At 57.7% G+C, this 23,675-nt stretch overlaps 4 protein-coding genes, 2 long non-coding RNA genes and 1 pseudogene across 12 annotated transcripts, besides 15 other annotated features; 4 read left to right on the top strand and 3 right to left on the bottom strand.

Moving 5' to 3' along the window:
* On the bottom strand, positions 78–1,473 carry CORO1A-AS1 (CORO1A antisense RNA 1). 3 transcript variants are annotated; one of them, NR_186358.1, is made up of 3 exons: positions 1,189–1,473; positions 834–1,016; positions 78–456 (listed from the first exon to the last, which is right to left on the bottom strand). It is a non-coding gene; the product is annotated as a CORO1A antisense RNA 1 (long non-coding RNA). The 3 variants fall into 3 exon arrangements; NR_186357.1 differs by having other exon boundaries at positions 834–1,104; NR_186359.1 differs by lacking the exon at positions 834–1,016.
* Positions 120–579: a silencer, noted in NCBI's record as "silent region_7358". NCBI's record gives its function as "represses an Ori minimal core promoter by ATAC-STARR-seq in GM12878 lymphoblastoid cells {active_cell/tissue: GM12878}" and the evidence as "EXISTENCE:reporter gene assay evidence [ECO:0000049][PMID:35858748]".
* CORO1A (coronin 1A) lies at positions 287–5,761 on the top strand. 2 transcript variants are annotated; one of them, NM_001193333.3, is made up of 12 exons: positions 287–410; positions 911–1,028; positions 1,894–2,092; positions 3,283–3,405; positions 3,501–3,630; positions 3,724–3,908; positions 4,067–4,186; positions 4,410–4,514; positions 4,627–4,772; positions 4,877–4,934; positions 5,046–5,261; positions 5,545–5,761. In NM_001193333.3, the coding sequence occupies exons 3-12, from the start codon at positions 1,895–1,897 to the stop codon at positions 5,647–5,649; spliced, it is 1,386 nt and encodes a 461-aa protein (NP_001180262.1). In that variant the 5' UTR covers positions 287–410; positions 911–1,028; position 1,894; the 3' UTR covers positions 5,650–5,761. The 2 variants fall into 2 exon arrangements, with proteins under 2 accessions (NP_001180262.1, NP_009005.1); NM_007074.4 differs by lacking the exon at positions 911–1,028.
* Positions 568–1,108: an enhancer, noted in NCBI's record as "H3K4me1 hESC enhancer chr16:30195204-30195744 (GRCh37/hg19 assembly coordinates)". NCBI's record gives its function as "activates a minimal SCP1, AML or CMV promoter by ChIP-STARR-seq in primed H9 embryonic stem cells {active_cell/tissue: H9 hESC(primed)}" and the evidence as "EXISTENCE:reporter gene assay evidence [ECO:0000049][PMID:30033119]".
* Positions 610–719: a silencer, noted in NCBI's record as "silent region_7359". NCBI's record gives its function as "represses an Ori minimal core promoter by ATAC-STARR-seq in GM12878 lymphoblastoid cells {active_cell/tissue: GM12878}" and the evidence as "EXISTENCE:reporter gene assay evidence [ECO:0000049][PMID:35858748]".
* Positions 1,109–1,650: an enhancer, noted in NCBI's record as "H3K4me1 hESC enhancer chr16:30195745-30196286 (GRCh37/hg19 assembly coordinates)". NCBI's record gives its function as "activates a minimal SCP1, AML or CMV promoter by ChIP-STARR-seq in primed H9 embryonic stem cells {active_cell/tissue: H9 hESC(primed)}" and the evidence as "EXISTENCE:reporter gene assay evidence [ECO:0000049][PMID:30033119]".
* Positions 1,651–2,190: an enhancer, noted in NCBI's record as "H3K4me1 hESC enhancer chr16:30196287-30196826 (GRCh37/hg19 assembly coordinates)". NCBI's record gives its function as "activates a minimal SCP1, AML or CMV promoter by ChIP-STARR-seq in naive H9 embryonic stem cells {active_cell/tissue: H9 hESC(naive)}" and the evidence as "EXISTENCE:reporter gene assay evidence [ECO:0000049][PMID:30033119]".
* Positions 2,090–2,189: a silencer, noted in NCBI's record as "silent region_7360". NCBI's record gives its function as "represses an Ori minimal core promoter by ATAC-STARR-seq in GM12878 lymphoblastoid cells {active_cell/tissue: GM12878}" and the evidence as "EXISTENCE:reporter gene assay evidence [ECO:0000049][PMID:35858748]".
* Positions 2,191–2,732: an enhancer, noted in NCBI's record as "H3K4me1 hESC enhancer chr16:30196827-30197368 (GRCh37/hg19 assembly coordinates)". NCBI's record gives its function as "activates a minimal SCP1, AML or CMV promoter by ChIP-STARR-seq in naive H9 embryonic stem cells {active_cell/tissue: H9 hESC(naive)}" and the evidence as "EXISTENCE:reporter gene assay evidence [ECO:0000049][PMID:30033119]".
* Positions 2,191–2,769: a biological region, named in NCBI's record as "H3K4me1 hESC enhancer GRCh37_chr16:30196827-30197368".
* Positions 2,620–2,769: an enhancer, noted in NCBI's record as "active region_10694". NCBI's record gives its function as "activates an Ori minimal core promoter by ATAC-STARR-seq in GM12878 lymphoblastoid cells {active_cell/tissue: GM12878}" and the evidence as "EXISTENCE:reporter gene assay evidence [ECO:0000049][PMID:35858748]".
* Positions 3,100–3,249: an enhancer, noted in NCBI's record as "active region_10695". NCBI's record gives its function as "activates an Ori minimal core promoter by ATAC-STARR-seq in GM12878 lymphoblastoid cells {active_cell/tissue: GM12878}" and the evidence as "EXISTENCE:reporter gene assay evidence [ECO:0000049][PMID:35858748]".
* Positions 3,273–3,813: an enhancer, noted in NCBI's record as "H3K27ac-H3K4me1 hESC enhancer chr16:30197909-30198449 (GRCh37/hg19 assembly coordinates)". NCBI's record gives its function as "activates a minimal SCP1, AML or CMV promoter by ChIP-STARR-seq in naive H9 embryonic stem cells {active_cell/tissue: H9 hESC(naive)}" and the evidence as "EXISTENCE:reporter gene assay evidence [ECO:0000049][PMID:30033119]".
* Positions 3,814–4,353: an enhancer, noted in NCBI's record as "H3K27ac-H3K4me1 hESC enhancer chr16:30198450-30198989 (GRCh37/hg19 assembly coordinates)". NCBI's record gives its function as "activates a minimal SCP1, AML or CMV promoter by ChIP-STARR-seq in naive H9 embryonic stem cells {active_cell/tissue: H9 hESC(naive)}" and the evidence as "EXISTENCE:reporter gene assay evidence [ECO:0000049][PMID:30033119]".
* Positions 3,993–4,287: an enhancer, noted in NCBI's record as "tiled region #7413; HepG2 Activating non-DNase unmatched - State 12:CtcfO, and K562 Activating DNase unmatched - State 5:Enh". NCBI's record gives its function as "activates a minimal TATA promoter and a strong SV40 promoter by Sharpr-MPRA in HepG2 and K562 cells {active_cell/tissue: HepG2 | K562}" and the evidence as "EXISTENCE:reporter gene assay evidence [ECO:0000049][PMID:27701403]".
* BOLA2B (bolA family member 2B) lies at positions 9,617–10,351 on the bottom strand. 2 transcript variants are annotated; one of them, NM_001320607.3, is made up of 3 exons: positions 10,218–10,351; positions 10,043–10,102; positions 9,617–9,759 (listed from the first exon to the last, which is right to left on the bottom strand). In NM_001320607.3, the coding sequence occupies exons 1-3, from the start codon at positions 10,278–10,280 to the stop codon at positions 9,709–9,711; spliced, it is 174 nt and encodes a 57-aa protein (NP_001307536.2). In that variant the 5' UTR covers positions 10,281–10,351; the 3' UTR covers positions 9,617–9,708. The 2 variants fall into 2 exon arrangements, with proteins under 2 accessions (NP_001307536.2, NP_001034271.2); NM_001039182.4 differs by having other exon boundaries at positions 10,043–10,140.
* Positions 10,080–10,804: an enhancer, noted in NCBI's record as "OCT4-NANOG-H3K27ac hESC enhancer chr16:30204716-30205440 (GRCh37/hg19 assembly coordinates)". NCBI's record gives its function as "activates a minimal SCP1, AML or CMV promoter by ChIP-STARR-seq in primed H9 embryonic stem cells {active_cell/tissue: H9 hESC(primed)}" and the evidence as "EXISTENCE:reporter gene assay evidence [ECO:0000049][PMID:30033119]".
* On the top strand, positions 10,528–14,251 carry SLX1A (structure-specific endonuclease subunit SLX1A). Of its 2 annotated transcripts, NM_001014999.3 has the most exons (6): positions 10,560–10,957; positions 11,425–11,476; positions 11,571–11,912; positions 13,659–13,786; positions 13,955–14,042; positions 14,122–14,246. In NM_001014999.3, the coding sequence occupies exons 1-6, from the start codon at positions 10,770–10,772 to the stop codon at positions 14,149–14,151; spliced, it is 828 nt and encodes a 275-aa protein (NP_001014999.1). In that variant the 5' UTR covers positions 10,560–10,769; the 3' UTR covers positions 14,152–14,246. The 2 variants fall into 2 exon arrangements, with proteins under 2 accessions (NP_001015000.1, NP_001014999.1); NM_001015000.2 differs by lacking the exon at positions 11,571–11,912 and having other exon boundaries at positions 10,528–10,957; positions 14,122–14,251.
* SLX1A-SULT1A3 (SLX1A-SULT1A3 readthrough (NMD candidate)) lies at positions 11,118–21,014 on the top strand. The gene is made up of 11 exons (NR_037608.1): positions 11,118–11,476; positions 11,571–11,912; positions 13,659–13,786; positions 13,955–14,042; positions 17,410–17,561; positions 17,666–17,791; positions 17,881–17,978; positions 19,375–19,501; positions 19,597–19,691; positions 20,190–20,370; positions 20,493–21,014. It is a non-coding gene; the product is annotated as an SLX1A-SULT1A3 readthrough (NMD candidate) (long non-coding RNA).
* Positions 11,530–12,253: an enhancer, noted in NCBI's record as "H3K27ac-H3K4me1 hESC enhancer chr16:30206166-30206889 (GRCh37/hg19 assembly coordinates)". NCBI's record gives its function as "activates a minimal SCP1, AML or CMV promoter by ChIP-STARR-seq in primed H9 embryonic stem cells {active_cell/tissue: H9 hESC(primed)}" and the evidence as "EXISTENCE:reporter gene assay evidence [ECO:0000049][PMID:30033119]".
* Positions 15,940–20,995, top strand: SULT1A3 (sulfotransferase family 1A member 3). Its single transcript, NM_177552.4, has 8 exons — positions 15,940–16,012; positions 17,410–17,561; positions 17,666–17,791; positions 17,881–17,978; positions 19,375–19,501; positions 19,597–19,691; positions 20,190–20,370; positions 20,493–20,995. The coding sequence occupies exons 2-8, from the start codon at positions 17,414–17,416 to the stop codon at positions 20,603–20,605; spliced, it is 888 nt and encodes a 295-aa protein (NP_808220.1). The 5' UTR covers positions 15,940–16,012; positions 17,410–17,413; the 3' UTR covers positions 20,606–20,995.
* LOC613038 (SAGA complex associated factor 29 pseudogene) lies at positions 21,001–23,612 on the bottom strand (annotated as a pseudogene). Its single transcript, NR_002557.1, has 5 exons — positions 22,939–23,612; positions 22,610–22,849; positions 21,646–21,775; positions 21,512–21,575; positions 21,001–21,371 (listed from the first exon to the last, which is right to left on the bottom strand). The product of NR_002557.1 is annotated as an SAGA complex associated factor 29 pseudogene (transcript).

Raw genomic sequence — 23,675 nt, forward strand, 5'->3', positions numbered from 1 at the left:
GCTTTCGTGCCTGCCAGGGAAAGGCTGGCGAGGAGGCTGGGGGCGGACGCAGGGAGGAAAGAAGCAATGGGGTGCTCTTGCGTTTTGACATTTTAAAAAGAAGTTTAGATTCGCTTCCCGGAGCCGGGATGGCAGCCTGCGCTATGGTTGGGGACCAACGTGGTGCACGGGCAGGGGCCGGGGAGAGAGGCGGCCGCAGCGGGAGCCCGGGAGCGCAGGGCGGGCCTGGAAGAGCTCCGCCCCAAGGGGCGCGGCCACCCCGGAGGCGGGCGCACGGCTGCTTCTCATTCATTGTCTTGACAAGAGCATCTTCAGCGGGCGAGTCCCCGGCTCCTCCAGCTCCTTCCTCCTCTTCCTCCTCCTCCTCCACCTCCGGCTTTTGGGGGATCACTGTCCTCTCTCGGCAGCAGGTGAGGCTGGGCCTGGGAGGCGCGGGTGGGCCGGGGCGAGGGCCACCTGTGGGGCGGCGCGCGCGTGGGAGCCGCGGGCTGCGGGGGCGCGCGGCTGTCACCGCGACCCAGCCAGCGCCGGGGCCAGGTAGCGGGCGCAGCAGCCCGTGGGGGGACGCTGCTTGGAGTGGGGGCCGCCGGGGCCCCAGAGCGCTCTGCGGAGGCGAGGGCTAGGGACCACCGCGGCCAAGATGGAGGTGGGTGGCCGGGGGTCAGCACAGTGTCGAGGGCCCGACTCCCCACGGAATTGAGTCTCGGGGAGGGTGGGGACGAGGGCAGGGTGGGGTGAGCGGGGCAGCTGCCCTGGGCTTGGAGACAGGAAGGGGTTGAGAGCAAAACAAGAAAAGACCAAGTTCCCCTTTCCGTGGTTTCCGGGCCTGGTACCTGTGGTGGGGGAGGAGGCAGGGTGGGGCGATGGCTTCCTGTCCCCCACCTCTGGTCCGGGGCTCCCCTCTCTCCAGATACAGGCTGCTCCTCAAGACTGGGGCTCTTCACATACGCTCCTCACCGCTCTTTGGGCAGGCCGACCTAGCAGCCTCTTCGGGAGTCCTGGGGTGGCCGGGGGTGCTGGAGCCCCCAGTGAGTAGGCGAGGCTGAGGCTAGGGGCAGAGGCTCTGGGCATGGCACCCTCCAAGCGGCAGCACAGGCCCCTTCCCTGAGCAGGAAGGTGATGCGGTGGCACAAGGTCGCCCCTGGAGTTCCTTGCTCCCCACCCAGACACTGGGGGAAACCATCCTACCTGGACCTCAGAGCAGTCGGAGTGGCCTCTCCCTTCCTGTGTGCAGTTTACATGGGGGTGGAGATGGCTCTTAAGGGCACCTGCTTTTCTGAGCGGAGGCGAGAGGCAGAGGTATGGGGAGGAGGAGATACCTGGACCTGAGCCAGAGACCTGCTGGGGAAGCTATCCTGCCGCCTCACTCCCCTCAGGCAGCCCCCACGCCACTTCCTCCTGTGTCCAGCCCCATGCCAGCAGGCGAGGGAGGCCAGCTCCTGTCCCTGCCTTTAGGAAGCGCTGTGTGGGTGTGAGGGAGGTGGGCTCTGGACACGGTAACTAAGAGAGAACCCACCCTCGGAGCCATCTGGGCTGATGACGCCTGAGTCTGAACCATTAGGAAGGACGGGCTCTGCATCCATCAGCCAGTCAGTCAACAAACATGCAGTGGGGCAACACCACGCCAGGCTCTGTTGCAGAGGCTGAGGGTACAGATTGAGAGGGTGGCTCAGAGTGGCCTGGGGCCAGGGAGAAGGGGGCTTGCAGGTTAGAGGGAAGGAGAGGCTGGGGAAGGCAAGCAGGCATCAGCCACAGAGGGAAGAATAGGGAGCCCCTGGAGATGATGCTGGGACCTTAAAAGCCAGACTGAGGGGTGTCCTGGGGGAGGTGGGGACCACTGGAAGATCAGAGTTGACCTGAAGGGAGAAATGCTCTTATGCTGTGTGCCCCCAGAATGAGCCGGCAGGTGGTCCGCTCCAGCAAGTTCCGCCACGTGTTTGGACAGCCGGCCAAGGCCGACCAGTGCTATGAAGATGTGCGCGTCTCACAGACCACCTGGGACAGTGGCTTCTGTGCTGTCAACCCTAAGTTTGTGGCCCTGATCTGTGAGGCCAGCGGGGGAGGGGCCTTCCTGGTGCTGCCCCTGGGCAAGGTGAGCCCCTGGGGCCCTGGGGGGAGCAGCTCCTCCACCGGACCCATGGCTCTGTGCAGGTCCTGATTAGGTGACGGTCACCAGGCCTTCCAGGGCCTGTGTTGCCATCTGGAAAACTGAGCTGGGCCCCATGAGCCTTACACTTCCTCCAGCTCCTCTGTGCTGTGGCTGTGTGGAAACTGACGCTCAGAAGGAGCCAACACAAGATGGGTCACACCAGTGACCAGGACTACAGACAGTCCTGCAGACCCATGATCAGCCCTCCTGAGCCTCAGCCTGGGGCTTTCTCCCCATGGAAACACAGAGGGGGTTGGGATGGGGTCTGGGGGCCCTGGCAGCGTTCTCAGGGTTGGGAGGGACTCTGGCTCTGGGCCTGTCTGAGGACCTAGCAACTCTGTCCCCCAGCTCGCAGGCAGGGATGATGCAAGAGGTGCTCTCCCCCACCCGCAGCCCTGCCCTCCCCTGGAGCCTGCTGCCCCCTCCGCTGGCTGGCTGCTGCCCCGCACCCCCAGCACACTCCTGTGCTCTTTGGGGGGTAAGACAGGAAGGGGAGATGGGCCCCAAGTTGTTACCTTAAAAGGGCTGATGGAAGCAAAGAGAAGAGGAAGTGGTTGTCGGGGTGAGAGCTGGGCCCGCGCCCCACATGGCTGTCACACAGGAAGCCCTGCTGAAGCAGCTGTCCCCGGAAGAAGCCATTTCCAAACCTCTGCTCCTGCCTGGGGCCAGTTGGGACAGGCTCCCTGGCCCCTCTCCTTTTGGGAGGACCCACCCCTGCAGCCCCACCACTCACACTCGCTCTCTGGGGAGCTGCCTCCACCCCCCCAGCCCCCATACACCTGTCCTGGCTCCAGGGCCAGTTGTGCCCATGGAAGCCTCACTCGGGGAAGCTGGGGTGGGGGTGCCAACCCTAAGGGCAGAGACAGACTGAGACAGAGACCGGCGGGAACTCTGCCAGGGTCTTGCACGGCCCCCAACCTCTGCCATGCGTGGCCAGCCCTCCTGGGGTTTGCCCAGGCCATTTTGGGACTGGAACAAGAGAAGAACAACCCGCCCCCGTCCCCACCCCAGGCCCTGGTCCAGCTCCCAGGGACACCACAGCTTTCCTCTCTGGGCCTCTCTGAAGGAGGTGTGGGGAGGTTGGATTGGGTTTGGGAGGCAAAAGCACCTCCAAGGCCCTGCTGTGCCTTTAGACTGGACGTGTGGACAAGAATGCGCCCACGGTCTGTGGCCACACAGCCCCTGTGCTAGACATCGCCTGGTGCCCGCACAATGACAACGTCATTGCCAGTGGCTCCGAGGACTGCACAGTCATGGTGAGTGGTGGTGGGGACCCAGGGGCTGGGAGAGGGGCTCTAGGATGGGATCTGACATTTGGAGTCCTGAAGACTCACTGGCCCCTCCTCTGCAGGTGTGGGAGATCCCAGATGGGGGCCTGATGCTGCCCCTGCGGGAGCCCGTCGTCACCCTGGAGGGCCACACCAAGCGTGTGGGCATTGTGGCCTGGCACACCACAGCCCAGAACGTGCTGCTCAGTGCAGGTGCTGCGGGAGGAGGGGCTTGGGGGTGGCTCGTGGCCTGCAGTGGATGAGGGCAGGAGGCTCATGGCTTCTGACACTGTGGGGAACGTGCAGGTTGTGACAACGTGATCATGGTGTGGGACGTGGGCACTGGGGCGGCCATGCTGACACTGGGCCCAGAGGTGCACCCAGACACGATCTACAGTGTGGACTGGAGCCGAGATGGAGGCCTCATTTGTACCTCCTGCCGTGACAAGCGCGTGCGCATCATCGAGCCCCGCAAAGGCACTGTCGTAGCTGTGAGTCGCCATCTACCCTGACCTTTGACCCTACAGCCTTTATCCTTCTTATCCACCATCAGCCAGGCCCTTGGATGCTGCCCTCCCTCGCCTCCACCTGGGACTGGCCCCGTAGGGTATGTACGGGTGCCTGACCTACCACCTCCCTTTCCTTGCAGGAGAAGGACCGTCCCCACGAGGGGACCCGGCCCGTGCGTGCAGTGTTCGTGTCGGAGGGGAAGATCCTGACCACGGGCTTCAGCCGCATGAGTGAGCGGCAGGTGGCGCTGTGGGACACAGTGAGTGCTGGGGCAGGAAGCCGAGGGCCCCCAGGCTGGGAACCAAGACTGGAGGTTTCGTCCCTGCTCTGCCACTCACCTGGCAGGATGGCCATGGGCCTCAGTTTACCCAGGCGTGAGATGGTTGTTCCCACTGGTTGGTCGGGAGGGCCCTCACAGGTCACTGCCCAGGGAAGACCACCATCCCAGGGCCTGGGATGTTACCTCTCACCTGTGTCTACAGAAGCACCTGGAGGAGCCGCTGTCCCTGCAGGAGCTGGACACCAGCAGCGGTGTCCTGCTGCCCTTCTTTGACCCTGACACCAACATCGTCTACCTCTGTGGCAAGGTGGCCTCGTCGGGCGGGGTGGGGGTGGGAGGTGGGCAGGATGGGCCTGGAGAGGGCCAGGGCAGTGGGCATCCGCTGGTATTGACCCTCCCTCCACACCTGCCACCTACAGGGTGACAGCTCAATCCGGTACTTTGAGATCACTTCCGAGGCCCCTTTCCTGCACTATCTCTCCATGTTCAGTTCCAAGGAGTCCCAGCGGGGCATGGGCTACATGCCCAAACGTGGCCTGGAGGTGAACAAGTGTGAGATCGCCAGGTGACTGACCCCCGGCCCTGACCGCAGCATGCTCCTTGGGCAGTGGGCAGTCCCAAGCCCACCCAACCAGACTGTGGGCCCCGCTCACCTTCCCCTTCCCACAGGTTCTACAAGCTGCACGAGCGGAGGTGTGAGCCCATTGCCATGACAGTGCCTCGAAAGGTGATGCTCCCCCGCCCCACCCTGGGCTCCAGGCTGGGCACTGACTTTGCGGTCTTGTGGGGGGTGTCCTGGCATAAGCGCTTTCCTCACTATCCCTGGCCTTGCCCACAGTCGGACCTGTTCCAGGAGGACCTGTACCCACCCACCGCAGGGCCCGACCCTGCCCTCACGGCTGAGGAGTGGCTGGGGGGTCGGGATGCTGGGCCCCTCCTCATCTCCCTCAAGGATGGCTACGTACCCCCAAAGAGCCGGGAGCTGAGGGTCAACCGGGGCCTGGACACCGGGCGCAGGAGGGCAGCACCAGAGGCCAGTGGCACTCCCAGCTCGGTGAGAGGGCTGGGAAGCCAGGGAATAAAACTGGGAGGGTGGGGTGGGGCTGGTGTTTGGGGCACCTCAAACTCACAACATTGGGAATCTTTGTGGGTCCGGGAATGGTAATCCTGAGGCCTCAGAACACAGGTTTCAGATTGATAGGCCTGCAGGTCTCCAGGCAGCAACCAGCTGAGCGACTAAAGGGCCCAAGGCCAGGGCTCTAGGGATGGGGCTCAGCAGAGGCTGGGGTAAGGGGAGCCAGGGAGGAGCTGGGCCTAATGCAGCACCGGGTCCCCAGGATGCCGTGTCTCGGCTGGAGGAGGAGATGCGGAAGCTCCAGGCCACGGTGCAGGAGCTCCAGAAGCGCTTGGACAGGCTGGAGGAGACAGTCCAGGCCAAGTAGAGCCCCGCAGGGCCTCCAGCAGGGTCAGCCATTCACACCCATCCACTCACCTCCCATTCCCAGCCACATGGCAGAGAAAAAAATCATAATAAAATGGCTTTATTTTCTGGTACCTCCCAGACTCTGATGACTGGTCCCCTAGACACGCAGTTTGCTGAACCAACCAGCCCTAGAGCTTCCCCTCCACCGCGCTGAGGGGACTGACCCATGGCAGGGGATGTGGGATGCCCCCTGACTTACTACATCACAGGAACAGGGCCTTCGTGGGTAGAAACCAGCCATGCTGATGTGGGCCAGGAGGCTGCTCTCCGTTTCCGAGCTCCTTCTCAGAGCTGACACAGCTGAACTATTTAAGGCCCTAGCTTAGAACCTCAATAATTCCCAAATTTACCAAAAATCTGCCTTTCCTAGTCAACCAAAACATCACGTTGCACGTGACTCTGCTGGCACTGTTGCTTGTGAGGAAATGAACCAACCATCACTTACAGGGTAGGCATCTTTTAAACTGCAGGTCCAAAGATAAAAATAACGAGGGAGGCTGGGCATGGGGACTCACGTCTATAATCCCAGCACTGTGGGAGGCTGAGGCGGCAGGATCATTTGAGCCCAGGAGTTTGAGACCTGCCTGAGCAACACGGCGAGATACCGTCTCTACGAAAAATAAAATAAAAAATTAGCCAGGCATGGTGGTGGGCACCTATAGTTCCAGCTACTCAGGAGGCTGAGGCAGGAGGATCCCTTGAGCCCAGGAGGTCGAGGCTGCAATGAGCCATTGCACCACTGCACTGCAGCCTGGGTGACAGAGCAAGACACTGTCTCTAAAAAATATAAATAGGCCGGGTGTGGCAGCTCACGCCTGTAATCCCAGCACTTTAGGAGGCCGAGGTGGGTGAATCACCTGAGGTCAGAAGTTCGAGACCAGCCTGGCCAACATGGTGAAACCCCATCTCTACTAAAAATACAAAAATTAGCTGGGCATGGTGGCAGGCGCCTGTAATCTCAGCTACTCAGGAGGCTGAGGCAAGAGAATTGCTTGAATCCGGGAGGCAAAGGTTGCAGTGAGCCGAGATCATGCCATTGTACTCCAGCCTGGGGGACAGGAGTGAGACTTCGTCTCAAAAAAAAAAAAAAATATATATATATATATATATATATATTTTTTAAATGTATAAATACATCATATATATTTTAATATATAAATATATTATATATATTATATATTTTAATATATAAATATATTATATATAATATATTTTAATATATAAATATTATATATATTATATTTTAATATATAAATATTATATATATTAATTATATATTTTAATATATAATATATATTATATTATATAATAATAAATTATATATTATATTATATAGTAATAAGTTATATATTATACTATATAATAATATAGTATAATATATAATATATATTATAATATATATTATATTATATTATATTATATTATATATTATAATATAAATTATATATATTTTATATATATGTTTTATATATTATATATTTTAATATATGAAACAGGGGAACTTCTTCTAAGGAAAAGACAGAATTAAGGCAACAGGCTGATCCTAGTTTACCAGAGAAGAAACTGAGGCCGGGAGCAGGAGCCCAGCTCACTGAAGGGCAGATCCCAAGTCAGAGTCCAAGTCTCCCCACTTTTTTATTTATTTAATTTTTTCTGAGATGGAGTTTCATTCTTGTTGCCCAAATTGAGTACAATGGCACAATCTCGGCTCACCGCAACCTCTGCCTTCTGGGTTCAAGCCATTCTCGTGCCTCAGACTCCCAAGTAGCTGGGATTACAGGCATGTGCCACCACGTCCGGCTAACTTTTGTGTTTTCAGTAGAGGTGGGGTCTCACCATGTTGGCCAGACTGGTCTCAAACTCCTGGCCTCAAGTCATCTGCCTGCCTCAGCCTCCCAAAGTGCTGGGATTACAGGCATGAGCCGCTGTGCCTGGCCTTATGTCTCCCCTTTTGAATTCAGAGCCTTCCCCCGTGTAGTGAGTGCTTCTGCCTCTCTAGCCCTTCCTGTGGGTTCTGCCTGGGCCTGACCTCTGTGAGAGACCTGGCAGGAACAGGTCTGTCAGGCCTTGTGGGGAGTGGGTGTGGGAATAGGTTTTGATACCCAACTTAGCAGGTGATCCTGAGATGGGAGGACACAGGGCTGTTTGGGATGGGCGTCTTAGCCATAGTAAGGTTTGGTTCATATCAAGCAGGGACCACCCATGGCGTCATTTCCAGGCCCCACCTCTTCAGTATGCCATAGAAAACTACTTGGGCAGTAGAGGTGTGGGAAGAAAACAAAAAAGAAAGCTGGGCATAAGTGGCACACGCCTGTAATCCCAGCACTTTTGGAGGCCGAGGCGGGTAGATCACCTGAGGTCGGGAGTTCAAGACCAGCCTGAACAACATGGAGAAACCCTGTCTCTATTAAAAATACAAGATTAGCCGGGCGTGGTAGCACATACCTGTAATCCCAGCTACTTGGGAGGCTGAGACAAGAGAATCGCTTGAACCCAGGAGGCGGAGGTTGTGGTGAGCCGAGATCGTGCCATTGCACTCCAGCCTGGGCAACAAGAGTGAAACTCTGTCTCAAAAACAGACAAACAAACAAACAATAAAAAACCCCCAAAAATTAGCTGGGCATGGTGGCGTGTGCCTGTAATCCCAGCTACTAGGGAGGCTGAGGCAGGAGAATCGCTTGAACCCGGGAGGGGGAAGTTGTAGTGAGCCAAGATCATGCTACTGCACTCCAGCCTGGGCAACAGAGCCAAGACTCTGTCTCAAAACAAACAAACAAACAAACAAAAAAACGCAGGAAAAGAGTGTGTGATGGCTGAAACTTGCAATTTCTCACTCTCAACGAGCCCTGGCCCCAACTAGGTTATTTGGGCTCCCTCCCTAGGTCTCAGGGACCTCTGTTCAAAGTCCTAGCAATCTGGGCCAGGTACAATGGCTCACGCCTAAAATTCCAGCACTTTAGGAGACCAAGGCGGGCAGATCACTTGAGGCCAGGAGTTTGAGACTGGCCTGGCCAACATGGTGAAACCCTGTCTCTACTAAAAGTACAAAAATTAGCCGGGCATGGTGGTGCACCCCTGTAATCCCAGCTACTCAGGAGGCTGAAGCACAAGAATCTTTTGAACCTGGGAGGCAGAGGTTGCAATGAGCTGAGATGGCGCCACGGCACTCCAGCCTGGGCGACAGAGCAAGACCCTGTCTCAAACAACAAAAAACAAATAAAACAAACAAGGTCCTAGCAACCCTACTAACCTGTTATGAAGACTGATACAGGGGCATCACCTGCCCCAATTTTCTGACTCAGGTCAGCCTTATATTCCTACTCTAATCTCACCCCTATCCCCGTCCCACACCCACTATTCTTAAAACCTCCATGGTCCTCCGGGGGCAGCTGTAGACACATTAAGCCCAGGGCTATGGGGCCACTGGAACCTTCTCCAGTGGGTCTGAAAACATCAGCATTCCAGGAGTTGATGAGCCCCTACCTGGGCACCACTCCCTCTTGGGCCTGAGAAGGCCGGGGGGAACCTGCAAGGAATATGTGGAATTCTATATGGTGCCTCTGATACTGCGGTAATGTCAGGGAGAGGTTTGTTCAACTGGTCAGGGCCCTGAAACCCCGATCACTTTCTCATCTCTGCATCTTGAAGGCTAGCAGAGAGGAGGAACCCTGAGCTCTCTAGGAGGTGGGTAGGTGGTGGCAGTACAGACTCCTAGATGTCTAAACGGAGTTGCAGAGAGAAGGCTTTCTCGGTAGACCCTGGAAGGGACTTTTACGGTAGAACTTTCATTTTACAAGCAGGGATAGAGGCCTAGATGGGGACAGAGACGTGTCCAAGGTAAAACAATGGACGGAGGCAGGGCAGGGAGAGGCCAGGTCCTAGACTCGGCCTCAGCACCCCTCCCACACACACATCGACACAGAAGCTGGTCCAGATTTATAATTTAATGGCTGTGCAGATCCCAGTCCCTCATTTCTGTCGCTCACGTGCCCACTGGTCTGGGGTCAGGGTTTTCTGTTCAAAGGCATGGATGTGCGGGAGCTCTTCTGCTAGGCACGCGTTCACCAGCCTGGGGCGAGAGATGGGGTTAGGAAAAGGCCAGCGGTGATCGCACACCCCGAGGCTAGGGTGACCCAAGAGACTGGTGTCCCCAAGGTTGTAGTCCCCAGGCCGTGGGAACACGTACTTGGAGAGAGGGTCTACATCGAAATACTCGAAGCAGGGGTCACGAAGGCGGGATCCTCAAGGTCCCTGAGCCACGCCAGGGGGAGTGCGGGAGTCAGGTTGCAGGGGTAGGGGGAGTGGCTGGGGTTGTGGTACAGGAGCTAGGCAAGGTGCTCCCAGGGCCTTACCTGTGTCTCTGAAGCAGCGGTTTCCCCTCGAACTTGGCCGACACCACCAGGACTCGGAAGCTACAGGAGCAACGGTTGAGGGTCGTGTCCTCCACCTCCTACCGAGCGGAAGAATATGAATGGTGCCGAACCCGCCCCCCGAGCTCTTTTCCCCTTGTCCGGCGGCTCAACTCACCACATGCTCCGCCTCCAGGTCCCGCTGCAGCTTCTCGCGGAGGTATTCGGCGCTGAGTTCCATGGCGGCAGTCCAGCTGGAACGGCAGCCCAGCAGGGACACAACCCCAGCTCGGGCGCCGGCCACGCTACCTTGCTGCCTTACAGGAGCCACTTCCGCTGGAAAACTCACTTCCGCCCTTACTAAGGCGTACGTCAACGCAGTACTTCCGCCCTCAAGCAGCCGGGCTTTCCAGCGGTCCAGGCTTTTCGCGCTTGCCATGTGTCAGCCAATCAGAGCCTGAGGAAGGTGGGACTCGGGCGGAGCCGATGCTGAATGGTACGCGCTCGCCGACTGGACAGCAGTCTGGCTTCCGCGGTCGGACTTCTACACCCGCCTCCAGACAGGAGAGGGGCACGTACCGGCGCTACGGCTTCCTGCAGGCTGCCTCCGGATAGTCCCCGAGAGCTTGTTCCGAAGCAAGCACCCTGCAGCCCTAGCGATCCAGCCCTCCCCTGGACCCTAGGTCACGGCAATCAACCCCCTGCTGTGGTTCCCGAACCCCAAGGCCCGATGGGTCCCGCGGGGGTCGCGGCGAGGCCAGGGCGCTTTTTCGGCGTCTACCTGCTCTACTGCCTGAACCCCCGGTACCGGGGCCGCGTCTACGTGGGGTTCACTGTCAACACTGCTCGTCGGGTCCAGCAGCACAATGGGGGCCGCAAAAAAGGCGGGGCCTGGCGGACCAGCGGGCGAGGGCCCTGGTGAGAGGGGGAGGCCTTCTGTGCCGGGAGGAAGGCGTCCCAGAGGAGGCGGACCCCGCGGGGCACAGGCCTGTTGAGAAGGACCGGCCAGGACTGTGACAGAGGCGGGGCGTCTGTGGTGGGGACGGGGCCTGTCGCAGGGGAGGAGCGTGACGGGGAGGCGGTGCCCGGGGCATCTCCGCGGCGGAACTCAGGGAAGGAGCTAGCTGGGGCGGGGGTGATGATCCAGGCTGGGTTCCAGCATAGGGCTCTTGGTGGGCACGCTGGGGTCGGGTGGAATGCAGGAGAGAGAGGAGGTGGGACAGGTGGGTACCTGGGCTGGAGGCAGGGCCTGAGGTGGGCAGGTGCAGAGGGCTGCACTTCTCGGCTGAAGCCGGGAATGAGGACCCCGCTCTCGGGTGGGATTGGAGGGGACCCGCGGCTGAGGCGCTGGGCTGCGACAGGGACATCACCGTTCTCCTCCTCAGGGAGATGGTGCTCGTCGTGCACGGCTTCCCGTCCTCCGTGGCCGCCCTTCGGGTAAGGAAGGAGACCGGGCAGCGGCGGCCGGGTGAGGGCTTGGGTTCCGCCCCTCGCTCCGAGCCGCCCTGATGCCCCTGTACGCCGCCCGCAGTTTGAGTGGGCTTGGCAGCACCCGCACGCCTCGCGCCGCCTGGCGCACGTGGGGCCTCGCCTGCGAGGAGAGACAGCCTTCGCTTTCCACCTGCGCGTGCTGGCGCACATGCTGCGCGCACCGCCCTGGGCTCGCCTCCCGCTCACGCTGCGCTGGGTGCGCCCAGACCTCCGCCAGGACCTCTGCCTCCCGCCGCCGCCGCACGTGCCTCTGGCCTTCGGGCCTCCACCGCCCCAGGCCCCGGCCCCAAGGCGCCGCGCAGGTCCCTTTGATGACGCGGAGCCTGAGCCAGACCAGGGGGATCCAGGGGCCTGCTGCTCCCTGTGCGCCCAGACCATCCAGGTGAGGTCCCCCCGAGGAATGGATGGCTCTAGAGTCCAGACGACTTCGGATCCAGCTCTTTCTTGAGGGAAACCCACTGACACGCTTTGGCCACCCTATCCCCATCTCTAAGATGCTGATGCTATAGGACTTACGGCCATTCCTGAGCAAAGCAGGCCCTGCTCAGGGCCTTCACCATTTCCCCTTCAAAGAAAAGGTTCTTCCCTAGGCCATCAGTACTCCGCTGCACTCCAGTGTGGTCGACAGAGCATGACCCTCTTTTTTTTTTTTTTTTTTTTGAGATGGAGTCTAGCTCTGTCGCCCAGGCTAGAGTGCAGTGGCGCGATCTCTGCTCACTGCAAGCTCCGCCTCCTGGGTTCACGCCATTCTCCTGCCTCAGCCTCCCGAGTAGCTGGGACTACAGGCGCCCGCCACCACGCCTGGTTAATTTTTTGTATTTTTAGTAGAGACGGGGTTTCACCGTGTTAGCCAGGATGGTCTCGATGTCCTAGCCTCGTGATCCGCCCGCCTCAGCCTCCCAAAGTGCTGGGATTACAGGCATGAGCCACCGCGCCCGGCCCTTTTTTTTTTTTTAGACAGAGTCTTGCTCTGTTGCGGAGGCTGGAGTGCAGTGATCTCAGCTCACTGGAAGCTCCGCCTCCTGGGTTCAAGCGATTCTCCTATCTCAACCTCCCAAGTGTGCCACCACACCTGCCGAATGTTTGTGTTTTTAGTAGGGATGGGGTTCGCCATGTTGGGCAGGCTGGTCTCAAACTCCTGACCTCAAGTGATCTGCCCGCCTCGGCCTCCCAGAGTGCTGGGATTATAGGCGTGAGCCACCATGCCTGGACATGACCCTGTCTCTAAAACAATGTAATGAACTGCAGCTCATTCTTGTGTGCACTTTTCTGCACCCCCTTTCCCTTAACACTTACTATTGTCTGGCATGCTACGTGTTTTCTTGATCTCATTAGCCTCTCCCACCCCAACTGCCACACTGCACTATCAGAGGGCAGCACTTATCACTGCTGTAGAACAAAGTCCTGCACTGAGCCGATGGCCCAGAAATTTTCTTTTTATTTATTTATTTATTTTTTTTTTGAGACAGAGTCTTACTCTGTCGCTCAGGCTGGAGTGTAGTGGCGCGATCTCAGCTCACTGCAACCTCTGCCTCCTGGTTTCAAGCAATTCTCCTTCCTCAGCCTCCAGAGTAGCTGGGATTACACGCGCCTGCCACCGCGCCTGGCTAATTTTTGTATTTTTAGTAGAGATGGGGTTTCAACCATGTTGGCCAGGCTGGTCTCAAACTCCTGACCTCAGGTGATCCTGCCCACCTAAGCCTCCCAAAATGCTGGTATTACAGGCATGAGCCACCGTGCCCGGCCTAAATATTTAATAAAATAATGGACGATGGGTGCCTTCTACTGAGCTCCCGGTAATTGTGAGTGAGTAGAGGACTTGCCCTGGGGACATTCAGTGACCTGCTGGGTGTTGCTGAGCTGTGAGGAAGTTCAGGTCTGGCTGCAGTGGTGAGGCTGTGACTCAATCAATCACTGCTGATGCTCCCAGGACCTGCACCAGCTTAGTCCTAGGGGCAAGGATTTTAACTGTCCACCTCAGTTTCTTCATTTGTAAGATGCAAATAACAGTCACCCCTGCCTCATGGGATGGAGCTGTGTAATGCCCGCAACAGTGCCTGCTGCATAGAGGGGTTGCTGCCAGCTGCCTCTCCCTCCTTGTCTCTTACCTGCCTGCTGCCTGGGTCAGGATGAAGAGGGGCCCTTGTGTTGCCCCCACCCTGGCTGCCTGCTAAGGGCCCATGTGATCTGCCTGGCAGAGGAGTTTCTTCAGGAAGAACCAGGGCAGCTTCTGCCCCTAGAGGGCCAATGCCCTTGGTGAGTGCAGTCCCCTGGCCCCAGCCTGGTCCACCTCTGGGAAGAGGGTGCCCAGTTGTGCAATCCAGGCCCAGGCAGCTGAGCCCTCATCTCAGCATGCAGGGCGGATACTGGAGGGGGCTTGTGGCATCTGACTCTGTATCTCCTACCTGCCCCTCTCCTTGGTAGCTGTGAGAAGTCACTGCTTTGGGGAGACCTGATCTGGCTGTGCCAGATGGACACTGAGAAAGAAGTAGAAGACTCAGAATTAGAAGAGGTGAGTGGGCTTTGGTGGCGGGCTCCCTACCCCACTCCCTGCCCTGGGCTGCCTGTGACCACACTGCTTGCCTCTGCAGGCACACTGGACAGACCTGCTGGAGACCTGATCCTCAGTGTCCTTACCCCCTCCTACCTCTTTTCTGTGCCACCTGCTGTGGGTCCAGCAGGTTTTTACTTGAGTACAATAAAAAGTCTGAGTCAAGGGTGCCTTATGGTGGATGCTGAGGGGAGGGGCGGAGCTAGTAGCCCAAGGTCCTGCCAGTCACGGGGCTTCCTCAGGGGCACAGAGGAGGCAGGAGGGGCCCCTGGCCCTAGCACGTGAACAGCTTCTACTCTGCCTGGAAACCCCATGCCTCAGCTTTCCCCTACTTGCCTCTGAGCTCATGCAATTCTTGGAAGCCTGGGAGACTTACCTTGAAATTGAATGCAAATAGGACAAAGACCAAGGAGGATGGGGGGATGCCCTCCTTCCACGGGGCCCTGTGGCTTCCAAGTCTTAATCTCCTCTAGTCTCTTGTCTACGGAGCCTCCTTCAAACCCAGGGAAAGAAAATCACCTGCCAGGGTTGTTTTTCTTCTAGGATCTTCTATTGATGCTCTGTGAGGTCCCCCAGGAGCCATGAAGCTAGGGCTGGCTCCTAGGGCAATGGGACTACAGTGTCCTTGTCCTTTCTTATTCTTTCTGTTCTTTCTTTCTTTCTTTTTTTTTTTTTTTTTTTTTTTTTGAGACAGAGTCTCACTCTGTTGCCCAGGCTGGAGTGCAGTGGTGTGATCTTGGCTCACTGAAACCTCCGCCTCCTGGGTTCAAGTGATTCTCTTGCCTCAGCCTCCTGAGTAGCTAGGATTACAGATGCCCGCCATCATGCCCAGCTAATTTTTGTATTTTTAGTAGAGACAGGGTTTCACCATGTTGGCCAGCTTGGTCTCGAACTCCTGACCTCAGGTGATCCTGCTGCATCGACCTCCCAAAGTACTGGGATTACAGGCGTGAGCCACCACGCTCAGCCTCTTTCTTGTTCTATATGTCCATGCTCTGCTCCACTTCTGCCCCTTCACTCTGCCCCCACACATCACTCCAGACTGGCCTTGTGGTCAGAGCCTGGAATGCCTGGGCTGCTGGGGGCCTGTGGACTGCACTGGGCCAGAACCCCTGCCGCCTTCAAGACTGGCCTGTAGCCAGCAGGTAGGTGACTTTTCCCAGGCCGGCCTATCCCACCTTTCCCCTCCACTCACTCACCTCCCTTGCCTGGGTCAATTAGAGAAAGCTTGTCGGCCAGGCATGGTGGCTCATGCCTGTAATCTCAGCACTTTGGGAGGCCGAGGCGGGCGGATCATCTGAGCTCAGGAGTTTGAGACCAGCCTGGCCAACATGGCAAAACCCCGTCTCTACTAAAAATACAAAAATTAACCGGATGTGGTGGTGTGCACCTGTAATCCCAGCTACTCGGGAGGCTGAGGCAGAAGAATCGCTTGAACCCAGGAGGGGGAGGTTACAGTGAGCGGAGATCGTGCTACTGCATTGCAGCCTGGGCGAGAGAGCGAGTCTCCATCTCATATAAAAAAAAGAAAAAGAAAGAAAGAAAGCTTGTCTGTTGGCCTGCCCTGCAGGGTGGAGTTCAGAGGGAAGGTCAGGAGCCTAGTGACAGCTCAAAAAAAAAAAAACCCAAATACCAATGTTGGCCCCTTTTGCCTTTCATTCATGTGTTTTCTATACACTAAACTCACATATTGGGTTTGCAGATCACTCCAAGCTTGGCTGGAGCTGTGGTGGTAAGGAGGGTAATAGAGAAGCTTCCCCACCCTCAACCCCACCCCTTCCTTCCTGGAGTTCCCAGCCCTGACTTTAGATCCCTCCCACACTGGACCTTCAAAACCCTCAGGGCAGAGAGCAGCCCTACACTCCCTACACCACACCCATACTCAGCCCCTGCAGGCAAGGAGAGAACAGGTCAGGTTCCCGAGAGCTCAGGTGAGTGACACGTTGGAATGGCCCAGGGCACCTTCACCCTGCTCAGCTTGTGGCTCCAACATTCTAGAAGCCGAGGCCTCTGCCATCCCTGCCCTTTCCCATGGATATTCCATTTCAATTAGACAACCCAGCCTGGCCGGAATCCCCCTGCGTTCCTTCTTTTCCTTTGTGTATTTTTGAGACAGGGTGTTGCTCCGTCACCCAGGCTGGAGTGTAGTGGGATCCTGGCCCACTGCAGCCTCAAATTCCTAGGCTGAGGCAATCCTGCCGCCTCAGCCTCCTGAGTAGCTGGGGTTACAAGAGCAAGCCACCACACCCAGCTAATTTTGAAAAATATTTTTTGTAGAGGAGAGGTCTTGCTTTGTTGTCCAGGTTGGTCTCAAACTCCAGGGCTCAAGGGATCCTTTCCCGTTGGCCTCCCAAGGCTCTGGGATTACAGGCGGGAGTCACCCTGCCTGGGCCCCTCCTTTTGATGAGTCATCAGTTTTCATTCCCGCACGAGGCTCTAGCCCCTGGTACCAGCTTAGTTGCTCAATGGGCTGTGTTTGTTCTGGAGCCCAGATGGACTGTGGCCAGGCAAGTGGATCACAGACCTGGCCGGCCTGGGAGGTTTCCACATGTGAGGGGCATGAGGGGGGCTCAAGGAGGGGAGCATCGGGGAGAGGAGCGCACTGGGTGGAGGCTGGGGGTCCCAGCAGGAAATGGTGAGACAAAGGGCGCTGGCTGGCAGGGAGACAGCACAGGCAGGCCCTAGAGCTTCCTCAGCACAGCTGGACTCTCCTGGAGACCTTCACACACCCTGATATCTGGGCCCCGCGCTACGAGGGTGCTTTCACTGGTCTGCACTATGCCCCAGGCCCTGGGATTTTGAACAGCTCTGCAGGTGACTGAAAGGTGCGGCCAGGCTGGGGAACGACCTGGTTTCAGCCCCAGCCCCGCCACTGACTGACTTTGTGAGTGCGGGCAAGTCACTCAGCCTCCCTAGGCCTCAGTGACTTCCCTGAAAGCAAAAACTCTGCAAAGGGGCAGCTGGGTGCTGGCTCACACCTGTAATCCCAGCACTTTGGGAGGCTGAGGTAGACAAATCACTTGAGGCCAGGAGTTCTAGACCAGCCTGGCCAACATGGTGAAACCCCATCTCTACTAAAGAAAAAAAAAAATTAGCTGAGCATGGTTGTACATGCTTGTAATCCCAGCTACTTGGGATGCCGAGGCGGGAGGATTGCTTGAACCCAAGAGGTGGAGTTTGCAGTGAGCTGAGATTGTGCCACACTGCACTCCAGCTTGGGTGAGAGTGAGACTCCATCTCAAAAAAAAAAAAAAAAAAGAGAGAATCCCACTTTCTTGCTGTTGTGATGGTGGTAAGGGAACGGGCCTGGCTCTGGCCCCTGATGCAGGAACATGGAGCTGATCCAGGACACCTCCCGCCCGCCACTGGAGTACGTGAAGGGGGTCCCGCTCATCAAGTACTTTGCAGAGGCACTGGGGCCCCTGCAGAGCTTCCAAGCCCGACCTGATGACCTGCTCATCAACACCTACCCCAAGTCTGGTAAGTGAGGAGGGCCACCCACCCTCTCCCAGGCGGCAGTCCCCACCTTGGTCAGCAAGGTCGTGCCCTCAGCCTGCTCACCTCCTATCTCCCTCCCTCTCCAGGCACCACCTGGGTGAGCCAGATACTGGACATGATCTACCAGGGCGGCGACCTAGAGAAGTGTAACCGGGCTCCCATCTACGTACGGGTGCCCTTCCTTGAGGTCAATGATCCAGGGGAACCCTCAGGTGCATGGCTGGGTCCTGGGGGTAAGGGAAGTGGAGGAAGACAGGGCTGGGGCTTCAGCTCACCAGACCTTCCCTGACCCACTACTCAGGGCTGGAGACTCTGAAAGACACACCGCCCCCACGGCTCATCAAGTCACACCTGCCCCTGGCTCTGCTCCCTCAGACTCTGTTGGATCAGAAGGTCAAGGTGAGGCCGGGCTCAATGGTTCACACCTGTCATCCCAGTTTGAGACTGAGGAGGGAGGATCCCTTGAAGGCGAGAGATGGAGACCAGCCTGGGCAACATTGCTGTAGAGATGACATCCCATCTCTACAAAAATAAAATTAACAACCTGGTATGGTGGCATAGACTGTTCCCAGTTACTTAGGAGGCTCAGCGGGGAGGACTGTTTATGCAAATAGGAAGCTGCAATGAGCCCTGATGATCCTGCTGCTGCACTCCAGCCTGGGCAACACAGCAAAACCATCTCTACGAAAAAAAAAGTTCCCACTGACTGGCAAGGAAAGCCAGGAAGGGGGGCTCAGGTGCCCTCTCAGCCATGTACCTGTTCTTCTGGAAGGGCCTCCTCGCTTCTGCCAGGCTCATCACATCTTTTTTTTTTTTTGAGACAGAGTCTTGCTCTGTCACCCTGGCTGGAGTGCAGTGGCATGATCTCAGCTCACTGCAACCTCCGCCTCCCCAGTTCAAGTGATTCTCCTGCCTCAGCCTCCTGAGTAGCTGGGATTACAGGCGTGTGCTACCACACCCGGCTAATTTTTGTATTCTTTTTAGTAGAGACGGGGTTTCACCATGTTGGTCAAGTGGATCTCAAACTCTTGACCTTGTGATCCTCCTGCCTCGACCTCACAAAGTGCTGGAATTACAGGCGTGAGCCACCGCGCCTGGCCCTTTTTTTTTTTGAGACAGTTTCACTCTTGTTGCCGAGGCTAGAGCGCAATCGTGTGATCTCGGTTCACTGCAACCACCGCCTCCTGGGTTCAAGCAATTCTCCTGCTTCAGCCTCCCAAGGAGCTGGGATTACAGGTACCTGCCACCACGCCCGGCTAATTTTGTATTTTTAGTAGAGATGGGGTTTCACCATGTTGGTCAGGCTGGTCTTGAACTCCTGACCTCAGGTGATCTGGCCACCTTGGCCTCCCAAAGTGCCGGGATTAGAGGCATGAGCCACCACGCCCAGCCTTCATCACATCTTGAGAGAGGACACTGTCTGCCTCTTGCTCTGATGAGGGTCTGATGCAAGGATAGTGAGTCTCTACAGTGCACACTTAAGAAAGGCAGCATGTGGGTGCTCACAGGTCAGCGGAGGAGGGGGAGCTGGTGGGGACCAGGCATGCCTTGCTCCAGATCAGGATATGATGGCATTGGTGCAGATTATATTAGTATAGAATATGGTCTCAGGAACCAGGCAGGACTTTGGCTTCCGAGCAGGGTTCAGATCCCAGCTTGGCCCTACCTGTGCAGTGAGATCTCAAGCAAGTCAGCCTCTAAGCCTCAGGTTCCTCCTTTGCCAGTTCAACAGATGAGCTGGCCTGGGGTGGGCTGTGTGGTGATGGTGCTGGGGCTGGGTCCTCTGCCCCTGCAGGTGGTCTATGTTGCCCGAAACCCAAAGGACGTGGCGGTCTCCTACTACCATTTCCACCGTATGGAAAAGGCGCACCCTGAGCCTGGGACCTGGGACAGCTTCCTGGAAAAGTTCATGGCTGGAGAAGGTGGGCTTGACTGGAGGAAGGAGGGTGTGAAGCCGAGGGGTGGTGGCTATAACGTACAGCAACCCTGTGTCGGTGCCCCCTGCCCGCTTCTCTAGTGTCCTACGGGTCCTGGTACCAGCACGTGCAGGAGTGGTGGGAGCTGAGCCGCACCCACCCTGTTCTCTACCTCTTCTATGAAGACATGAAGGAGGTGAGACCGACTGTGATGCTTCCCCCCATGTGACACCTGGGGGCAGGCACCTCACAGGGACCCACCAAGGCCACCCAGCCCCGTCCCTGGGCGGCTCCCACAGCAAGCCCGGATTCCCCATCCTACCTCCCTGGCCCAGGCCCCCCCACTGCAGCCCCACCTGGCAGCAGGCTCGGCACAGCTTTCATCTTCTGCACCTGAGTCAGCTGCATGGGTGGCCACGGATCAGATACTTAGTCCTATTGCTTATCCTCACCAAAGGGTGTGCCACCCAGGGCCACAGTCATGGAAGAAGACCATCCCGGTCCTCACCCATAGGCGCCAAGCCCTGTTCATGATGGGATCACAGGGCAGAGATCAATTCATTTTACTCCAGAGACTAGGGCCCCAGGGGTTGAGGCTCTTTGGGGTTTCTAGGGGAAGTGGCCAGATCCCCTCTGAGGTTAGAGAGGGGGACCCGTTTTGTTTTGCTCCACTGAGGAGCCCTCTGCTGCTCAGAACCCCAAAAGGGAGATTCAAAAGATCCTGGAGTTTGTGGGGCGCTCCCTGCCAGAGGAGACCATGGACTTCATGGTTCAGCACACGTCGTTCAAGGAGATGAAGAAGAACCCTATGACCAACTACACCACCGTCCCCCAGGAGCTCATGGACCACAGCATCTCCCCCTTCATGAGGAAAGGTGGGTGCTGGCCAGCACGGGGGTTTGGGGCGGGTGGGAGCAGCAGCTGCAGCCTCCCCATAGGCACTTGGGGCCTCCCCTGGGATGAGACTCCAGCTTTGCTCCCTGCCTTCCTCCCCCAGGCATGGCTGGGGACTGGAAGACCACCTTCACCGTGGCGCAGAATGAGCGCTTCGATGCGGACTATGCGGAGAAGATGGCAGGCTGCAGCCTCAGCTTCCGCTCTGAGCTGTGAGAGGGGCTCCTGGAGTCACTGCAGAGGGAGTGTGCGAATCTACCCTGACCAATGGGCTCAAGAATAAAGTATGATTTTTGAGTCAGGCACAGTGGCTCATGTCTGCAATCCCAGCGATTTGGGAGGTTGAGCTGGTAGGATCACAATAGGCCACGAATTTGAGACCAGCCTGGTAAAATAGTGAGACCTCATCTCTACAAAGATGTAAAAAAATTAGCCACATGTGCTGGCACTTACCTGTAGTCCCAGCTACTTGGGAAGCAGAGGCTGGAGGATCATTTCAGCCCAGGAGGTTGTGGATACAGTGAGTTATGACATGCCCATTCACTACAGCCTGGATGACAAGCAAGACCCTCCCTCCAAAGAAAATAAAGCTCAATTAAAATAAAATATGATTTGTGTTCATGTAGAGCCTGTATTGGAAAGGAAGAGAAACTCTGAGCTGAAAGAGTGAATGCCCGGTGGGGCCACATATGGTCACCTCTCCCCCAGCCTTCAGCTCCCCAGGTCACCATATCTGGGGAGGGGAGAAGGGTTTGGAGAAGTAAAACCCAGGAGATGTGTGGAGGGGGGATGTCTGTTTAATCCCAGCACATCCTCTGCTGTCCTGCCCCAAGATGGTGGAGGACGTCGAGTCCGCCGGGCAGCGTCACTTTTTCTTGGGCTCCTTAGAAGCTACCAGGTACCTCTGGGCCACACTGAGATGAGGGGAGTAGCCGTCTGCATAGGAGGTGTCTTCAAACAGGATAGAATAGTCCTCCTGGGGCTGTGGGGCAGGTGGACAGGAAGGGCAGAGAGCAGCCCCGGGGCTGGTGTCACTCACTTGTTGGTGGCATGGCTGTAACTGACCACCTCGGCCAGGATCCACTGCTCATCCCCATCCACGGCCTTCACCCGGGCAGCCACCTTGTCTCCAGGTCTGGCCACGTAGTCTCCTGAGGCAGGGATGGCCCCACAGAGGGGTGGGGGCCTGTGAGTGGAACAAAGGATCAGTCCCAGCCCCTGGGCACCAGCCCCTTCCTCGCAGCTGCTGCCCTCACTTGTCACCAGGCTTCCCAATCCACAGGGGCAGGGTCATGGCCGACTGCTGCAGCAGGGTCATCAGCACCCCTCTGCGCATGGTCTTCCGGGGTGGCTCCAAGTCATTGTAGAGACCCGCGATCTTGGCCACTGTGGGAAGAAAGGGAGGCCTGAGGCCCCAGGGACAGGGGCTGGCCCTGACCCCCCAGCATGCTGAACTGAGCTGCTGGAGGAGCACCTGGGAGCCCCCAGCTCCCGAGTGAGCCCGAGGGCACAGCAGGACTGTGACCTGATCTGCCAGGTGTCCTACAGGGGCTGCTGCGCTCAACTACATATGGGTGAGACGGCAGCACACCAGGCACCCAGGGGAAGGAACCAGGGAGGGACAAAGCGGGTTCTGAGGTGCTGGTGAGGTTCTCTTCTTGATGTCGGTGCTGACACAGAAGTGTGTTTCGTTAGTGAAAAGTTCCTAAAATTCGAAGGGTCCCGCGGGAATCGGGGCGAGGCCGGGTGCCTCTTCAGCGTCCAGCTGCTCTACTGCCTGAATCCCTGGTACCCGGGCCCTGTCTACGTGGGGCTCACTGTCAACCCTGTTCGTCCAGCAGCACAATGGTGGCCGCAAAAAAGGCGGGGCTTGGCGGACCATTGGCCGAGGTCCCTGTTAAGAGGGGGAGGGTCTCTGTGCCCGGAGGAAGGCTCCCTGGAGGAGGCGGAACCGGGGGGCACAAGCCTGCTGAGAGGGACCCACTAGGTCTGTGACGTGCGCGGGACGTCCCGGGCGAGGCCTGTTGGTGGGGGGAGGCTGTCGCAGGGGAGGAGCCTAACGGGGAGGCGGTGCCCTGGGAATCTCGGCGTTAGAACTCCGGAGAGCAGCTGGCTGAGGCGAGGGTGATGATCCAGGCTGGGGTCCAGCGCAGGGGTCTTGGGGGGCACGCTGGGGTCGGGTGGAGCGCAGGAGGGAGAGGAATGAGAACAGGTGGGTACCTGGGCTGGAGGCGGGACCTGAGGTGGGCAGGTGCAGGGGGCGTGCCTTCAGGCAGTTGCGGGGCCAGGGCTCGGCTGAAGCTGGGAGTGAGGACCCCGTTCTCCGGTGGGATAGGAGGGGACCCGCGATGCTGGGCTGCGCTGGCGGTAGGGCGCGGCGGGGCTCACAGGAACATTCCTGTTCTCCTCCCCATGGAGATTGTGCTCGTCGTGCACGGCTTCCCATCCGCCGCGGCCGCCCTTCGGGTAAAGAAGAAGACCGGGCGGCGGCCTGTGGCCTGGATTTGGGGTCCGACCCCCGCCCGGAGCCGCCTTGACTCCAACCCCGCCGCGGTTGGAGGGGGCCTGGCACCCCCGCCCTGGGCGCTCCTCCCGGTCCCGTTGCGCCCCGACCTCCGTCAGCCGCACGGCACTGGCCACTGACCGTCGGGCCTCCTCCGCCCCAGGGCGCCGCGCAGGTCCCTTTGCTGACGCCGAGCCTGAGCCTGAGCCGGTCCCGGGGTCCAAGAGGGCTGTGTGCACCCTGCGCGTCCGCGCGCTCCAGGGGAGGTGCGCTCCAGGGGAGGTCCGCCCCAAGCAGAGCGGCACATCCTCCAGACGACTTCGGATCCTGCTGTTGAGGAGCCAGGAAACGCCCTGACACTGTTGCGGCCCTGTCCACATCTCTAAGATGGGGATGGATGATAGTACTTCTGGCCATTCCTGAGCACAGCAGGACCTGCCTTTTCCCTTTGACTGGAAGGTTCTTCTCTACATCTTCAGTCTTGATAACCTGCCACCTCCACAGGGAGGTCTTCCCTGGCTCCCAATTTAAAATTGCAGCTCTGAGAAGCCGGGCATGGTGGCATATGCCTGTAGTCCCAGCTACGGGGGAGGCTGAGGTGGGAGGATCGCTTGAGCCCAGGAGTTGGAGGCTGAAGTGAGCTATGATCACTCCATTGCACTCCAGCCTGGGGGAAACAGCAAGACCCTGTCTCTAAAAAAATAAAATACAATAAAATTGCGGCTCTTTCTTGTGCACTTCCCTGCCCGCCCCCCTTTCCTGAACCCTTATTATTTTCTGCCA

The sequence above is a fragment of the Homo sapiens genome, chromosome 16, assembly GCF_000001405.40.
Source record: "Homo sapiens chromosome 16, GRCh38.p14 Primary Assembly".
Taxonomy (NCBI): domain Eukaryota; kingdom Metazoa; phylum Chordata; class Mammalia; order Primates; family Hominidae; genus Homo; species Homo sapiens.

What these genes read in the sequence shown, in the direction of transcription:
- CORO1A (NM_001193333.3), top strand. Translation starts at nt 1,895, where the DNA reads ATGAGCCGGCAGGTGGTCCGCTCCAGCAAGTTCCGCCACGTGTTTGGA. An exon ending in CCGAGGACTGCACAGTCATG is followed by an intron (nt 3,406 to 3,500) that starts GTGAGTGGTGGT and finishes CCTCCTCTGCAG; the next exon opens with GTGTGGGAGATCCCAGATGG. An exon ending in GCAAAGGCACTGTCGTAGCT is followed by an intron (nt 3,909 to 4,066) that starts GTGAGTCGCCAT and finishes CTTTCCTTGCAG; the next exon opens with GAGAAGGACCGTCCCCACGA.
- BOLA2B (NM_001039182.4), bottom strand. Translation starts at nt 10,280, where the DNA reads ATGGAACTCAGCGCCGAATACCTCCGCGAGAAGCTGCAGCGGGACCTG. An exon ending in ACCTGGAGGCGGAGCATGTG is followed by an intron (nt 10,141 to 10,217) that starts GTGAGTTGAGCC and finishes TCCGCTCGGTAG; the next exon opens with GAGGTGGAGGACACGACCCT. An exon ending in CCGCTGCTTCAGAGACACAG is followed by an intron (nt 9,760 to 10,042) that starts GTAAGGCCCTGG and finishes CTCTCGCCCCAG; the next exon opens with GCTGGTGAACGCGTGCCTAG.
- SLX1A (NM_001014999.3), top strand. Translation starts at nt 10,770, where the DNA reads ATGGGTCCCGCGGGGGTCGCGGCGAGGCCAGGGCGCTTTTTCGGCGTC. An exon ending in CCTCCGTGGCCGCCCTTCGG is followed by an intron (nt 11,477 to 11,570) that starts GTAAGGAAGGAG and finishes CGCCGCCCGCAG; the next exon opens with TTTGAGTGGGCTTGGCAGCA. An exon ending in TGTGCGCCCAGACCATCCAG is followed by an intron (nt 11,913 to 13,658) that starts GTGAGGTCCCCC and finishes TGCCTGGGTCAG; the next exon opens with GATGAAGAGGGGCCCTTGTG.
- SULT1A3 (NM_177552.4), top strand. Translation starts at nt 17,414, where the DNA reads ATGGAGCTGATCCAGGACACCTCCCGCCCGCCACTGGAGTACGTGAAG. An exon ending in TGATCCAGGGGAACCCTCAG is followed by an intron (nt 17,792 to 17,880) that starts GTGCATGGCTGG and finishes CCCACTACTCAG; the next exon opens with GGCTGGAGACTCTGAAAGAC. An exon ending in TGTTGGATCAGAAGGTCAAG is followed by an intron (nt 17,979 to 19,374) that starts GTGAGGCCGGGC and finishes CTGCCCCTGCAG; the next exon opens with GTGGTCTATGTTGCCCGAAA.